At 41.9% G+C, this 15,264-nt stretch overlaps 1 protein-coding gene across 11 annotated transcripts in view, besides 1 other annotated feature; it reads left to right on the top strand.

Annotated features, from left to right (window-relative positions):
• Positions 1-15,264, top strand: part of ATP10B (ATPase phospholipid transporting 10B (putative)) — a 366,241-nt gene that overhangs the window by 334,516 nt on the left and 16,461 nt on the right. For all 11 annotated transcript variants that reach the window (XM_017009252.2, XM_047416995.1, XM_011534468.3 and 8 more), the window contains 2 exons: positions 3,706-3,786; positions 5,149-5,253. In XM_017009252.2, the coding sequence (XP_016864741.1) occupies positions 3,706-3,786; positions 5,149-5,253 (186 nt within the window). The remainder of the gene's footprint in view (positions 1-3,705; positions 3,787-5,148; positions 5,254-15,264) is intronic.
• Positions 1,970-2,470: an enhancer, noted in NCBI's record as "NANOG-H3K4me1 hESC enhancer chr5:160019382-160019882 (GRCh37/hg19 assembly coordinates)". NCBI's record gives its function as "activates a minimal SCP1, AML or CMV promoter by ChIP-STARR-seq in naive H9 embryonic stem cells {active_cell/tissue: H9 hESC(naive)}" and the evidence as "EXISTENCE:reporter gene assay evidence [ECO:0000049][PMID:30033119]".

Genomic DNA, 15,264 nt, shown 5'->3' with positions numbered 1-15,264 from the left:
AGTTAGTTAGCTCTTCTTGTTGAATTGATCCCTTTACCATTATGTAATGGCCTTCTTTGTCTCTTTTGATCTTTGTTGGTTTAAAGTCTGTTTTATCAGAGACTAGGATTGCAACCCCTGCCTTTTTTTGTTTTCCATTTGCTTGGTAGATCTTCCTCCATCCTTTTATTTTGAACCTATGTGTGTCTCTGCACATGAGATGGGTTTCCTGAATACAGCACACTGATGGGTCTTGACTCTTTATCCAATTTGCCAGTCTGTGTCTTTTAATTGGAGCATTTAGTCCATTTACATTTAAAGTTAATATTGTTATGTTTGAATTTGATCCTGTCATTATGATGTTAGCTGGTTATTTTGCTTGTTAGTTGATGCAGTTTCTTCCTAGCCTCGATGGTCTTTACAATTTGGCGTGATTTTGCAGTGGCTGGTACTGGTTGTTCCTTTCCATGTTTAGTGCTTCCTTCAGGAGCTCTTTTAGGGCAGGCCTGGTGGTGACAAAATCTCTCAGCATTTGTCTGTCTGTAACGGATTTTATTTCTCCTTCACTTATGAAGCTTAGTTTGGCTGGATATGAAATTCTGAGTTGAAAATTCTTTTCTTTAAGAATGTTGAATATTGGCCCCCACTCTCTTCTGGCTTGTGGAGTTTCTGCTGAGAGATCAGCTGTTAGTCTGATGGGCTTCCCTTTGTGGGTAACCTGACCTTTCTCTCTGGCTGCCCTTGACATTTTTTCCTTCATTTCAACTTTGGTGAATCTGACAATTATGTGTCTTGGAGTTGCTCTTCTCGAGGACTATCTTTGTGGCATTCTCTGTATTTCCTGAATCTGAATGTTGACCTGCCTTGCTAGATTGGGGAAGTTCTCCTGGATAATATCCTGCAGAGTGTTTTCCAGCTTAGTTCCATTCTTTCTCCCCGTCACTTTCAGGTACACCAATCAGACGTAGATTTGGTCTTTTCACATAGTCCCATATTTCTTGGAGGCTTTGTTTGTTTCTTTTTATTCTTTTTTCTCTAAACTTCCCTTCTCACTTCATTTCATTCATTTCAAGTTGATCACATCGGCTCCTGAGGCTTCTGCATTCTTCACGTAGTTCTCGAGCCTTGGCTTTCAGCTCCATCAGCTCCTTTAAGCACTTCTCTGTATTAGTTATTCTAGTTCTACATTCATCTAAATTTTTTGCAAAGTTTTTAACTTCTTTGCCTTTGGTTTGAATTTCCTCCTGTAGCTCGGAGTAGTTTGATTGAAGCCTTCCCTCAACTCGTCAAAGTCATTCTCTGTCCAGCTTTGTTCCATTGCTGGTGAGGAACTACGTTCCTTTGGAGGAGGAGAGGCGCTCTGCTTTTTAGAGTTTCCAGTTTTTCTGCTCTGTTTTTTCCCCATCTTTGTGGTTTTATCTACTTTTGGTCTTTGATGATGGTGATGTACAGATGGGTTTTTGCTGTGGATGTCCTTTCTATTTGTTAGTTTTCCTTCTAACAGACAGGATCCTCAGCTGCAGGTCTGTTGGAGTTTGCTAGAGGTCCAATCCAGACCCTGTTTGCCTGGGTAACAGCAGCAGTGGCTGCAGAACAGCAGATTTTTGTGAACTGCGAATGCTGCTGTCTGATTGTTCCTCTGGAAGTTTTGTCTCAGAGAAGTACCCGGCCATGTGAGGTGTCAGTCTGCGCCTACTGAGGGGGTGCCTCCCAGTTAGGCTGCTCAGGGGTCAGGGGTCACGGACCCACTTGAGGAGGCAGTCTGCCCATTCTCAGATCTCCAGCTGCGTGCTGGGAGAACCACTGCTCTCTTCAAAGCTGTCAGACAGGGACATTTAAGTCTGCAGAGGTTACTGCTGTCTTTTTGTTCATCTGTGGCCTGCCCCCAGAGGTGGAGCCTACAGAGGCAGGCAGGCCTCCTTGAGCTGTGGTGGGCTCCACCCAGTTCGAGCTTCCCAGCTGCTTTATTTACCTAAGCAAGCATGGGCAATGGCAGGCGCCCCTCCCCCAGCCTCGCTGCTGCCTTGCAGTTTGATCTCAGACTGCTGTGCTAGCAATCAGCGAGACTCCATGGGCGTAGGACCCTCCAAGCCATGTGCAGGATATAATCTCCTGGTGCGCCATTTTTTAAGCCTGTTGGAAAAGCACAGTATTAGGGTGGGAGTGACCCGATTTTCCAGGTGCCATCTGTCACCCCTTTCTTTGACTAGGAAGGGGAACTCCCTGACCCCTTGTGCTTCCCGAATGAGGCAATGCCTCGCCCTGCTTTGGCTCGTGCATGGTGCACTGCACCCACTGTCCTGTGCCCACTGTCTGGCACTCCCTAGTGAGATGAACCCGGTACCTCAGATGGAAATGCAGAAATCACCCGTCTTCTGTGTCGCTCATGCTGGGAGCTGTAGACCAGAGCTGTTCCTATTTGGCCATCTTGGCTGCCCCAATTATTTCTTAATTATATCACACATTAATATGGGACTGCCCTAGTCGAAGGGGAAGAGCCATGCAGAAGGATCCTATACCTTTCAGCCATCCCCTCCAGGCTCTGAGATGCATCTATAGAACCCCCAAAGCCCAGTTTGAGAACCCTTGGGATTTATAGCTACTTTGCTTTTCATTGGGTAAGGTATACAATGGTTCTATTTCATATTAGGGAAGGCAAAACTTAGAACTCAAAATTACATGTGCTTTAGAATTTGCTGGTATCAAATAGACTAAGGCAGGCCTGAGAAGCCATCAGGTGGCATCCTAGGAGGCCCAGAGAGGCCACACTGCAGCCCTGAATGATTTGGAGAAGTCAGACAGCATGCACTCCCAGCACCAGCAAGAAGCTGGATCGAGGGAGCTCTGGGAAGAGGGACTTTGCAATGCCAGAGAGTGTCTTGCACCTGGAGGAAAGAAGGGCAAAGCCAAGTGTAGTATTTGAGATCTGGCAATTATTTATAGACTAACAGCAAGCCCAGTTGTTAGCCCAAAGCCAAGAGGAGAGAGCAACACAGAAACCCAAGCAGTCCAGACGAAGGGGGCATGGTGAGAGTGCATGTTCACCTTGGGCTCTTCTAAGTTTACCCTTCCCATCAAAGTGCTGACTGCATAGCAAATTCCTTGAGTATCTAAAAGTTAAGCAAGACCCAAAAACTGTAAAGATTTCACTTTTCCTGGGGAAGGCACAAAGATTAATGCCTGAGAAGGCTTGTTTCTGGAGCCGCTGATGCCTGAGAAGCCTTGTTTCTGGAGCTGTTGAACTTCAGAAACTTGGGGGAACCTGTGATTCGAGCTACGATTGAGATCTCTCAGATGCCACTTAGAAACTTTAGAATCTTTACACTTGCCAGGTTTGTAGCAACAGTAGCAAAAGAACTAATGATTGATAACAATGAATAACTGAGTACTTGGCTAGGCACTAAGGCCTGAGTACTTACTAGGTAGGCACAATTGCATTTACTCCTCTTGAACCCCAAGGAGATAGGCTGTGTTATTTTTGCCCACATTTAATGGAAGAAGAAACTAGTTCTCCGCACAGTTTAGTAATTTTCACAAGGTCACACAGTTGAACTGAAGTCTGTCACCCCCAAGTCTACACTCCTAATTACTCCATTCTACTACCACAAATACAAGAGGCATTGTATGCGTCTGGTTGTCTGTCGCAGCCACATGCAAGAAAGTTGCTTGCAAAGAATAGAGGCTTGCTATAAGGGTGATAATTATTGGTGTGTTCTCTCCTGGCAGTGCTATAACCTGTCGACTTTCTGGATTTCTATGGTGGATGCATTCTACCAGAGCCTCATCTGTTTCTTTATCCCTTACCTGGTAAGTCATGTAGTCCCATTCTAACCACATAAATTGCAGAGAAGAACTGGTCCTTTTTATATAAAGTTCCAGACCAGTAGTGTCCTTCTGGACACTTTAGAGCAGAGGCTCAAACAGGTAGCCTGCAGGTTACATCCAACCCAAGGTGTTTGAAAAGTCAGAACACTACCCAAACATTTTGATTTCTGCTGGCTCTTGAAAAACTGAAAGCTATATTTATACTGGGTCATTTTTTCCCTCATAGCAAAAATCTGGACTTGACTTTGCAGCTGGGCTCACCTTGTGAGCATGTTCTCCAGTTTGCCTTAGTCTCTACCACTCCCCTTTGTCTTACATCTGGCTATCTTTACTCATTAACTGTTTCCTACTTGAACACTGAAGGTATTTGAATTTACTACCCTTGATTTTTATATACACTTGTGCTTTGAAGGTCAAGGAAGCTAGCCTTCAGAGGCAGCAAGTTCCGATAATGAGATACTACATTATCTGAAAAAAAGTAGCAAGAATGCAGATAGCAAGGGATACCAGCCCAATCTCAGTTTGATTCCTCAGTTTAAATAGTGAGAATTTAGGTAGCAAACAATATATGTCTTCTTCCTGGACACACGGAACAGGATGGGAAGCAATTGCCACCAGGTAAACACTGTTGCTTATCCAACCTCTGGGCTCATATTCTTTCATAATTAGCAAGATGATGGAGTTAGGGGAGGCAGGGATCTTGTGTTTTGCTTGAACTTCCTGGCTTACAATACCCTCCCTGGCCAGGTCTTTGCTTGGCTTTCCTGCTATATCTTTTGCCCTTGAATATGCTCAACAGACCTACAATGTAGGACTCTGGAGTTCTACAAACCGTCTGTGTTCACCCTCCGTTCTGACCTTTTCTGGAACTGCATTTACCCTCTCTTTCCAAGTGATTAACTCCTCTTATTCTGGTCTCAGCTAATATATCCTCTTCTGTGTTCCCAGGGTACCTTGTACTTGCCTCTATTATAGCACGTACTTCCTTAAATTGTACCACATCCGCACTGCCTAATAGACTAAACTCATTGTAGGCAAACACAGAAGTATCCTCAGCTGTTAGCATTGTGTCTGATGGGCTCTCAATGAATTCTGTCTTCATTCATTCCACAATGGTTTCACAATCCCCATCTTGGCTTACTCCTGCAAACACCATTTCTAAATTAGTCCTATCAATTCCTTTCTTACCTTGACCTGTTCCTCGGATCAGTACCACACAGATGGCAGCTGGGTACCTCCTTCTCCATTGACAACTGCCTTCATTGATGCTTTATAATCACTGTGTCAAAGCCAAAGTTAGTCCACAGACATACCTGACAATGCCTGTCTGTTCCTCCTCTGCAGGCCTATAAGGGCTCTGATATAGATGTCTTTACCTTTGGGACACCAATCAACACCATCTCCCTCACCACAATCCTTTTGCACCAGGCAATGGAAATGAAGACATGGGTAAGTGTCCCAGAGCCCCTTTGGCTTCAAAACTGTGCTCCTGCCCATTGACTATACTCAAATTTCTGAATTGTTTCATTCTGTGTTATCAATCCACTCAATAAATACATACTAAGCTCCTACCCTATGTCCTACCTGTACAGGGATGAAAGGGGTGAAAAAGATAAAATTCTGGAATCAACTTGCTTTTCATCTAGCCAGGATGTTAAAACTAACATATATTAAAACAATGAGACAATTAGTTGCAAAAATAGATAATTGATAAAAAGTTCAGGGGTATGGCCAGGCATGGTGGCTCACACCTGTAATCCCAGCACTTTGGGAGGCCGAGGTGGACAGATCACCTGAGGTCAGGAATTCGAGACCAGCCTGGCCAAGATGGTGAAATCCCGTCTCTACTAAAAATAAAAAAATTAGTTGGGTGTGGTAGCAGGCGCCTGTGGTCACAGCTACTCGGGAGGCTGAGGCAGGAAAATTGCTTGAACATGGGAGGCGGAGGTTGCACTGAGCCAAGATCATGCCACCACACTCCAGCCTGGGTGACAGAGTGAGACTCCATCTCAAAAAACAAAAAACAAAAACAGTTCAGGCGTGTTTCAGAGACAAGGAAAACACTGACCATACATACCTGAGGCTGTGTTAGGGAGGAATTCTCCCCATTTAATTTTAGGGTGAATGATTAGAAACGTGCCTCCAGGTAACCATATCTCAAGCATATCCAAATGTCACATTTTGATATCTAAGAAGGCAATGTCACCTTTCTGATTAGATTTTTCTAGTCAGTAATAACTATAAAAACTAATAGCTTACAATTCTGTCTATACCAAGTGTCTCTCTACATGATTAGCGTGTATTATTTAACCTCTAGAGCCCTTTGTGTTAGGTGTTTTTATATTCCCATTTTACAGATTTAGAAATATGGCAGATGCAATAAGGTTTAACTTGCCCCCAAGCAGTTTAAGATAGAAGCAAGTTTTGAACCCTGGCAGTTTAACGTGAGCCTTTAACATCCATGCTAATAGTGTAAGTAGATAAGATTGAATGGTACACAGGGAACACTTTACAGAAAGATGTGTCCTTAGCCAAGTTCAGATGGCTTTCTGGAAGTACAAGCATTAAAAATTTGGAAAATAGCCCCAAGTAGGCTCAGCATGTTCCTACATTCTGCAATGGAACTCTCCACCCCAGCCTCCCACCACCACTATCACAAGCTAAAGCAGGCCATAACCAGCTGGGCAGTGGCTGATAAGAGCCACTCAAAGGTAGTTTTGGATCATGGAGTTCTCATTTTGAAAACCCCCTCTCCTATTCAACATAGTATTGAAGTTCTGGCCAGGGCAATCAAGCACGAGAAAGAAATAAAGGGTATTCAAATAGAAAGAGAGAAAGTAAAATTGTCTGTTTACAGATGACATGATTGTATATTTAGAAAACCCCATTGTCAGGGCAGGTGCGGCGGCTCACACCTGTAATCCTAGTGCTTTGGGAGGCTGAGGTGGGCAGATCACAAGGTGAGAAGTTCAAGACCAGCCTGGCCAACATGGTGAAACCCCATCTCTACTAAAAATACAAAAATTAGCTAGGCATGATGGCATGTGCCCGTAATCCCAGCTACTCAGGAGCTCAGGAGGCTGAAGCAGAATTGCTTAAACTGAGACCTGGGAGACAGAGGTTGCAGTGAGCCGAGATCATGCCATTGCACTCCAGCCTGGGCTATGGAGCAGGACTCCATCTCAAAAGAAAAAATAAAAGATTATCTAAGCCCAAAAACTCCTTAAGCTGATGAGCAACTTCAGCAAAGTCTTAGGATAGAAAATCAATGTACAAAAATCATAAGCATTCCTATACACCAACAATAGACAAACAGAGCACCAAATCATGAATGTACTTCCAATCACAATTGCTACAAAGAGAATAAAATACCTAGGAATACAGCTAACAATGGAAGTGAAGGACCTCTTAAAGGAGAACTACAAACCACTGGTCAAGGAAATAAAAGAGGACACAAACAAATGGAAAAACATTCCATGCTCATGGATAGGAAGAATCAATATTGTGAAAATGGCCATACTGCCCAAAGTAATTTATAGAATCAATGCTATTCCCAAACTACCATCAACATTATTCACAGAATTAGAAAAATCTACTTTAAATTTCATATGAAACCAAAAATGAGCTCATATACCCAAGAAAATCCTAAGTAAAAAGAACAAAACTGGAGGCATCATGCTACCTGACTTCAAACTATACTACAAGGCTACAATAACCAACACAGACATATACACCAATGGAACAGAGCAGAGACCTCAAATAACACCACACACCTACAACCATCTGATCTTCAACAAACCAGACAAAAACTAGCAATGGGGAAAAGATTCCCTATTTAATAAATGGTACTGGGAAAACTGGTTAGCCATATGCAGGATCCCTTCCTTACACCTTATACAAAATTAACACCTTATACAAAAATTAACTCAAGATGGATTAAAGACTTAAACATAAGACCCAAAACCATAAAAGCCCTAGAAGAAAACCTAGGCAATACCATTCAGGACATAGGCACAGGCAAAGATTTCATGACGAAAACACCAAAAGCAATTGCAACAAAAATGAAAATTTACTAAACTAAAGAGCTTCTGCACATCAAAAGAAAGTATCATCAGAGTGAAAAGGCAATCTACAGAATGGGAGAAAATTTTTGTAATCTAACCATCTGACAAAGGGCTAATATCTAGAATCTACAAGGAACTTACACAAATTTACAAGAAAAACACCATCAAAAAGTGGGCAAAGGATATGAACACATACTTCTCAAAAGATGACATTTATGTGACCAACAAACATGAAAAAAAGCTCAACATCACTGATCATTAGAGAAATGCAAATCAAAACCATAATGAGATACCATCTCACGCCAGTCAGAATGACGATTATTAAAAAGTGAAGAAACAGTAGATGGCGAGGCAGTGGAGAAATAGGAACGCTTTTACACTGTTGGTGGGAATGTAAATTAGTTCAACCATTGTGGAAGACAGTGTGGTTATTCCTCAAGGATCTAGAACCAGAAATACCATTTGACCCAGCAATCCCATTACTGGGGATGTACCCAAAGCATTATAATTCATTCTACTATAAAGACACATGCATACAAACATTTATTGCAGCACTATTTACAATAGCAAAGACATGGAACCAACCCAAATACCCAATGACAGATTGGATAAAGAAAATGTGGTACACACACACACTATAGAATACTATGCAGCCATAAAAAAGAATGAGGTCATGTCTTTTGCAGGGACATAGATGAAGCTGGAAGCCATTATCCTCAGCAAACTAACACAGGAACAGAAAACCAAACACCACATGTTCTCACTGATAAGTGGGAGTTCAACAATGAGAACACATGGACACAGGGAGGGGAACAACACACACTGGGGACTGTCAGGAGGTGGGGAACAAGCGGAGGGAGAGCATTAGGACAAATACCTAATGCATGCAGGGCTTAAAACCTAGATGACAGGTTGATAGATGCAGCAAACCACCATGGCACATGTATACCTATGTAACAAACTTGCACGTTCTGTACATGTATCCCGGAACTTAAAGTAAAATAAAAATTTTTTAAAATCCTGCTCCAATGTGTACCAATGACAGAACAAAGTGATAAGACAAAAAAAGGCATAGCCAGGCTTAAGTACAGGACAAATTTCTTCATGGGCCAGAAACACCAGAAGAGGCTGCAATACAATGAGGAAGGGAAGAAGAAGAGAAGGCACTGGGAAGGCTCAAACTGCAGACTTTCTGGGAACTGGGACAGGACACAGATCATGGCAATGGGGACTCTGGCTCCTGCGGGGTAGGGCAGACTGGAACCCCATCTACTGCTGGGTCTAAAATTCTCCTACTCAAGAAAGAAATCTAAAGAAAAGATAACAATGGCAAGCTGTTTGGAGGTATAGTTTTTGGTTTTTTGTTTGTTTTTTGGAGATGAAGTCTCGCTCTGTCATCCAGGCCAGAGTGCAGTGGCGCCATCTTGGCTCATTGCACCTCCGCCTCCTGGGTTCAAAAGATTCTTCTGCCTCAGCCTCCTCAGTAGCTGGGACTATGGCGCGTGCCACCATGCCCAGCTAATTTTTTGTAATTTTAGTAGAGACAGGGTTTCAATATGTTAGCCAAGATGGTCTCAATCTCCTGACCTCGTGATCCGCCCGTCTCAGCCTCCCAAGAAGGTATAGTTTTATCAGAAGCTGTTTGATACTAGAAACCACCAAGCTAATGAATTCTTGAAAATAAAATATTGTCATTGAAATTAAAACTACAATTTGTAGGATCTGCTCTAGATCAGACACTGGCAAAAAATAAACTGCCAAATTGAAATGTAGTTTTGGGAGCTTATCCAGAATGATACACAAATATGAAAAATAAGAGGAAATGGTGGCTAGAACAAATGGCTTCAGCCTCTCTAAATAGGAATATCAGGAGGAAAAAAGAATGATGGAGAAGCAATATTTGAAGAAATTGTCATTGAGAATGAAAATTTATCAAAAATCTGGATGTATTGCCTGGATATATCATAATTAAATTGTATAATATAAAACATACAGAGGCAGCCCTTAAGTCTGCCAGAGACTATAGACAAATTACTTGAAAAGGAACAGCTATGCTGGTGACCAAACAATAAAAGCCAGGAGACAATGGAGTAATTGTCTTCAAAAAACCTGAAGGAGAAAATAAAACTAGAAAAGCTACACTATTAAGAGTAAGGCAAGATAAATCCTATTTTCAAATAAACTCTATAAGGTTAACTACCCATAGGCCCTCACAAAAAAAGGAACATACTTCTGCAAGAATGTAAACAAAAGCTAAAACTATAAGACACAACATAAAGAAGGGCTATTCAATAGGTAGGTAATTTATGCTAAAGCCTTCATAGTGGATAGAAGAATAAAAATACACATTTAACTATACATTTTTCCATAAGAGTTCAGTTTTTTTAGTATCTTAAGATTAATCACTAAAAGGGAAAAAGAAAAAAATCTAGAAAACTGTCAATTCTGCAGATGTAGGAAAGATGAAAAAATGAGAGCAGGGGTGGCTGGCGAGATGGCCAAATAGGAACAGCTCCAGCCTGCAGTTCCTAGCAAGATCAACACAGAAGGTGGGTGATTTCCGCATTTCCAACTGAGGTACCCAGCTCATCTCACTGGGAGTGCTTAGACAGTGGTTGCAGCCCACAGAGAGCGAGCCAAAGTAGGGTGGGGCATTGCCTCACCCGGAAAGCACAAGGGGTTGGGGAACTGCCTGCCCTAGCCAAGGGAAGCCATGAGGAGCCATGAGGAACAGTCTACTCTGGCCCAGATACTACACTTTTCCCACAGTCTTCCCAATCCACAGACCAGGAGATTCTCTCGGGTGCCTACACCACGAGGGCCCTGGGTTTCAATCACAAAGCTGGGTGGCCGTTTGGGCAGACATGGAGATAGCTGCAGGAGTTTTGTTTTTTTTTTCCATACCCCAGTGGTGCCTGGAATGCCAAAGAGATAGAACTGTTCACTCCCCTGGAAAGGGGGCTGAAGCCAGGGAGCCAAGTGGTCTAGTTCAGCAGATCCCACCCCCATGGAGCCCAGTAAGCTAAGATCCACTGGCTTGAAATTCTCACTGCGAGCACAGCAGTCTGAAGTTGACCTGGTACACTCCAGCTTGGTTGGGAGAGGGGTGTCCACCATTACTGAGGCTTCAGTAGGTGGTATTCCCCTCACAGTGTAAACAAAGCCACCAGGAAATTCGAACTGGACAGAGCCCACTGCAGCACTTCATAGCTTCTGTAGCCAGACTGCCTGTCTAGATTCCTCCTCTCTGGGTGGGGCATCTCTGCAAGAAAAGCAGCAACTCCAGTCAGAGGCTTATAGATAAAACTCCCCTCTCCCTGGGACAGAGCACCTCGGGGTAGGGGTGGCTGTAGGCACAGCTTCAGCAGACTTAAACGTTCCTGACGGCCAGCTCTGAAGCACAGCGCTCGAGCTCTGCTAAGGGACAGACTGTCTCCTCCAGTGGGTCCCTGACCCCTGTGCTTCCTGATTGGGAGACACCTCATACAGGAAAGTTCTGGCTGGCATCTGGTGGGTGCCCCTCTGGGATGAAGCTTCCAGAAGAAGGAACAGGCAGCAATCTTTGCTGTTCTGCAGCCTCTGCTGGTGATATCCAGGCAAACAGGGTCTGGAGTGGACCTCCAGCAAACTCCAGCAGACAGGCCTGACTGTTAGAAGGAAACTAACAAACAGAAAGGAATAGCATCAACATCAACAAAAAAAAGCCCATACAGAAACCCCATCTGAAGTTCACTAACATCAAAGACCCGAAGGTAGATAAATCCATGAAGATGAGAAAAAAACAGCACAAAAAGGCTGAAAATTCCAAAAACCAGAATGCCACTTCTCCTCCAAAAGATCACAACTCCTCACCAGCAAGGGAACAAAACTGGATGGAGAATGAGTTTGATGAATTGACAGAAGTAGGCTTCAGAAGGTGGGTAATAACAAACACCTCCAAGCTAAAGGAGCATGTTCTAATGCAATGCAAGGAAGCTAAGAACCTTGAAAAAAGATTAGAGGGATGGCTAACTAAAACAACCAGTTTAGAGAAGAACATAAATGACCTAATGGAGCTGACAAACACAGTATGGGAACTTTGTGAAGCATACACAAGTATCAATAGCTGAATCGATCAAGTGGAAGAAAGGATATCAGAGATTGAAGATAAACTTAATGAGAAAGCTTGAAGACAAGATTAGAGAAAAAAGAATGGAAAGGAATGAACAAAGCCTCCAAGAAATATGGAACTATGTGAAAAGACCAAACCTATATTTGATTGGTGTACCTGAAAGTGATGGGGAGAATGGAACCAACTTGGAAAACACTCTTCAGGATGTTATCCAGGAGAACTTCTCCAACCTAGCAAGACAGGCCAAGACACATAATTGTCAGATTCACCAAGGTTGAAATGAAGGAAAAAATACTAAGGGCAACCAGAGAGAAAGGTCGGGTTCCCCACAAAGAGAAGTCCATCAGACTAACAGCAGATATCTCTGTAAAAATCCTACAAGCCAGGAGAGAGTGAGGACCAATATTCAACATTCTTAAAGAATTTTCAACCCAGAATTTCATATCCAGCCAAACTAAGCTTCATAAGCAAAGGAGAAATAAAATCCTTTACGACAAGCAAATGATGAGAGATTTTGTCACCACCAGGCCTACCTTACAAGAGCTCCTGAAGGAAGCACTAAGTATGGAAAGGAAAAATCAGTAGCAGCCACTGCAAAAACATACCAAATTATAAAGACCATTGACACTATGAAGAAACTGCATCAACTAATGGGCAAAATAACCAGTTAACATCATGACAGGATCAAATTCACACATAACAATATTAACCTTAAATGTAAGTGGGCTAAATGCTCCAATTAAAAGACACAGACTGGCAAATTGGATAAAGAGTCAAGACCCATTGGTGTGCTGTATTCTGGACACCCATGTCACATATGCAAAGACACACATAGGCTCAAAATAAAGGGATGGAGGAATACTTACCAAGCAAATGGAAAACAAAAAAAAGCAGGGTTGCAATCCTAGTCTCTGATAAAACAGACTTTAAACCAACAAAGATCAAAAAAGACAAAGAAGGGCATTACATAATGGTAAAGGGATCAATGCAACAGGAAGGGCTAACTATCCTAAATATATATGCACCAAATACAGGGCACCCAGATTCATAAATCAAGTTCTTAGAGACCTACAAAGAGACTTAGACTCCCATACAATAATAATGGGAGGCTTTAATACCCCACTGTCAATAGTAGACAGATCAACAAGACAGAATATTAACAAGGATATTCAGGACTTGAACTCAGCTCTGGACTAAGCAGACCTAATAGACATCTACAGAACTCTACACCCCAAATCAACAGAATATACATTCTTCTCAGCACCACATCACACTTATTCTAAAATTGACCACATAATTGGAAGTAAAACACTCGTCAGCAAATACAAAAGAATGGAAATCATAACAAACAGTCTCTCAGACCACAGCACAATCAAATTAGAACTCGGCATTAAGAAACTCACTTGAAACTGAACAACTACATGGAAACTGAACAACCTGCTCCTGAATGACCACTGGGTAAATAATGAAATTAAGGCAGAAATAAAGAAGTTCTTTGAAACCAGTGAGAACGAAGACACAATGTACCAGAATCTCTGGACACAGCTAAAGCAGTGTTTAGAGGGACGTTTATAGCACTAAATGCCCAGAGGAGAAAGTGGGAAAGATCTAAAATCAACACCCTAACATCACAATTAAAAGAACTAGAGAAGCAAGAGCAAACAAATTCAAAAGCTAGCAGAAGACAAGAAATAACTAAGATCAGAGCAGAACTGAAGGAGATAGAAACACAAAAAACCCTTCAAAAACAAAAAATCAATGAATCCAGGAACTAGTGTTTTGAAAAGATTAACAAAATAGACCACTAGCCAGACTAATGAGAGAAAAATCAAATAGACAGAATAAAAAATGATAAAGAGGATATCACCACTGATCCCACAGAAATACAAACTACCATCAGAGAATACTATAAACACCTCTACACAAATGTACTGGAAAATCAAGAAGAAATGGATAAATTCCTGGACACATACACTCTCCCAAGACTAAACCAGGAAGAAGTCAAACCCCTGAACAGACCAATAACAAGTTCTGAAATTGAGGCAGTAATTAATAGCCTACCAACCAAAGAAAGCCCAGGACCAGACGGATTCACAGCCGAATTCTACCAGAGGTACAAAGAGGAGCTGATATCATTTCTTCTGAAACTATTCCAAACAATAAAAAAAGAGGGACTCCTCCCTAACTCATTTTATGAAGCCAGCATCATCCTGATACAAAAACCTGGCAAAGACACAACAAAAGAAAATTTCAGGCCAATATCCCTGTTAAACATTGATGCAAAAATCCTAAATAAAATACTGGCAAACCAAATCCAGCAGCACATCAAAAAGCTTATCCACCCACAATCAAGTCAGCTTCATCCCTGGGATGCAAGGCTGGTTCAACATACATAAACAATAAATGTAATCCATCACATAAACAGAACCAATGACAAACACCACACAATTACCTCAATAGATGCAGAAAAGGCCTTCGATAAAATTCACCTCTTAATGCTAAAAACTCTCAATAAATTAGGTATTGATGGAACGTATCTCAAAATAATAAGAGCTATTTATGACAAACCCATAGCCAATATCATACTGAATGGGCAAAAGCTGGAAACATTCCCCTTGAAAACCGACAGAAAACAAGGATGCCACCCTCTCTCACCACTCCTATTCAACATAGTATCGGAAGTTCTGGCCAGGGCAATCAGGCAAGAGAAAGAAATAAAGGGTATTCAAATAGGAGAAGAGGAAGTCAAATTGTCTCTGTTTGCAGATAACATGATTGTATATCTAGAAAACCCCATTGTCTCAGCCCCAAATCTTAAGCTGATAAGCAACTTCAGCAAAGTCTTGGGATACAAAATCAATGTACAAAAATCACAAGCATTCCTATACACCAATAATAGACAAACAGCCAAATCATGAGTGAACTCTCCCATTCACAATTGCTACAAAGACAATAAAATACCTAGGAATACAGCTAACAAGGGAAGTGAAAGACATCTTCAAGGAGAACTAGAAACCACTGGTCAAAGAAATAAGAGAGGACACAAACAAATGCAAAAACATTCCATGCTCATGGATAGGAAGAATCAATATTGTGAAAATGGCCATACTGCCCAAATTAATTTATAGATTCAATGCTATCCCCATCAAGCTACCACTGACTTTCTCCACAGAACTGGAAAAATCTACTTTAAATTTCATATGGAACCAAAACAACCCATATAGACAAGACAATGCTAAGCAAAAAACACAAAGCTGGAGGCCTCATGCTGCTTGACTTCAAACT

Source organism: Homo sapiens, chromosome 5 (assembly GCF_000001405.40).
Source record: "Homo sapiens chromosome 5, GRCh38.p14 Primary Assembly".
Lineage (NCBI taxonomy): Eukaryota > Metazoa > Chordata > Mammalia > Primates > Hominidae > Homo > Homo sapiens.
The sequence above is the reverse complement of the archived record's forward strand: the minus strand, read 5'-3'. Positions and strand labels throughout refer to the sequence as shown.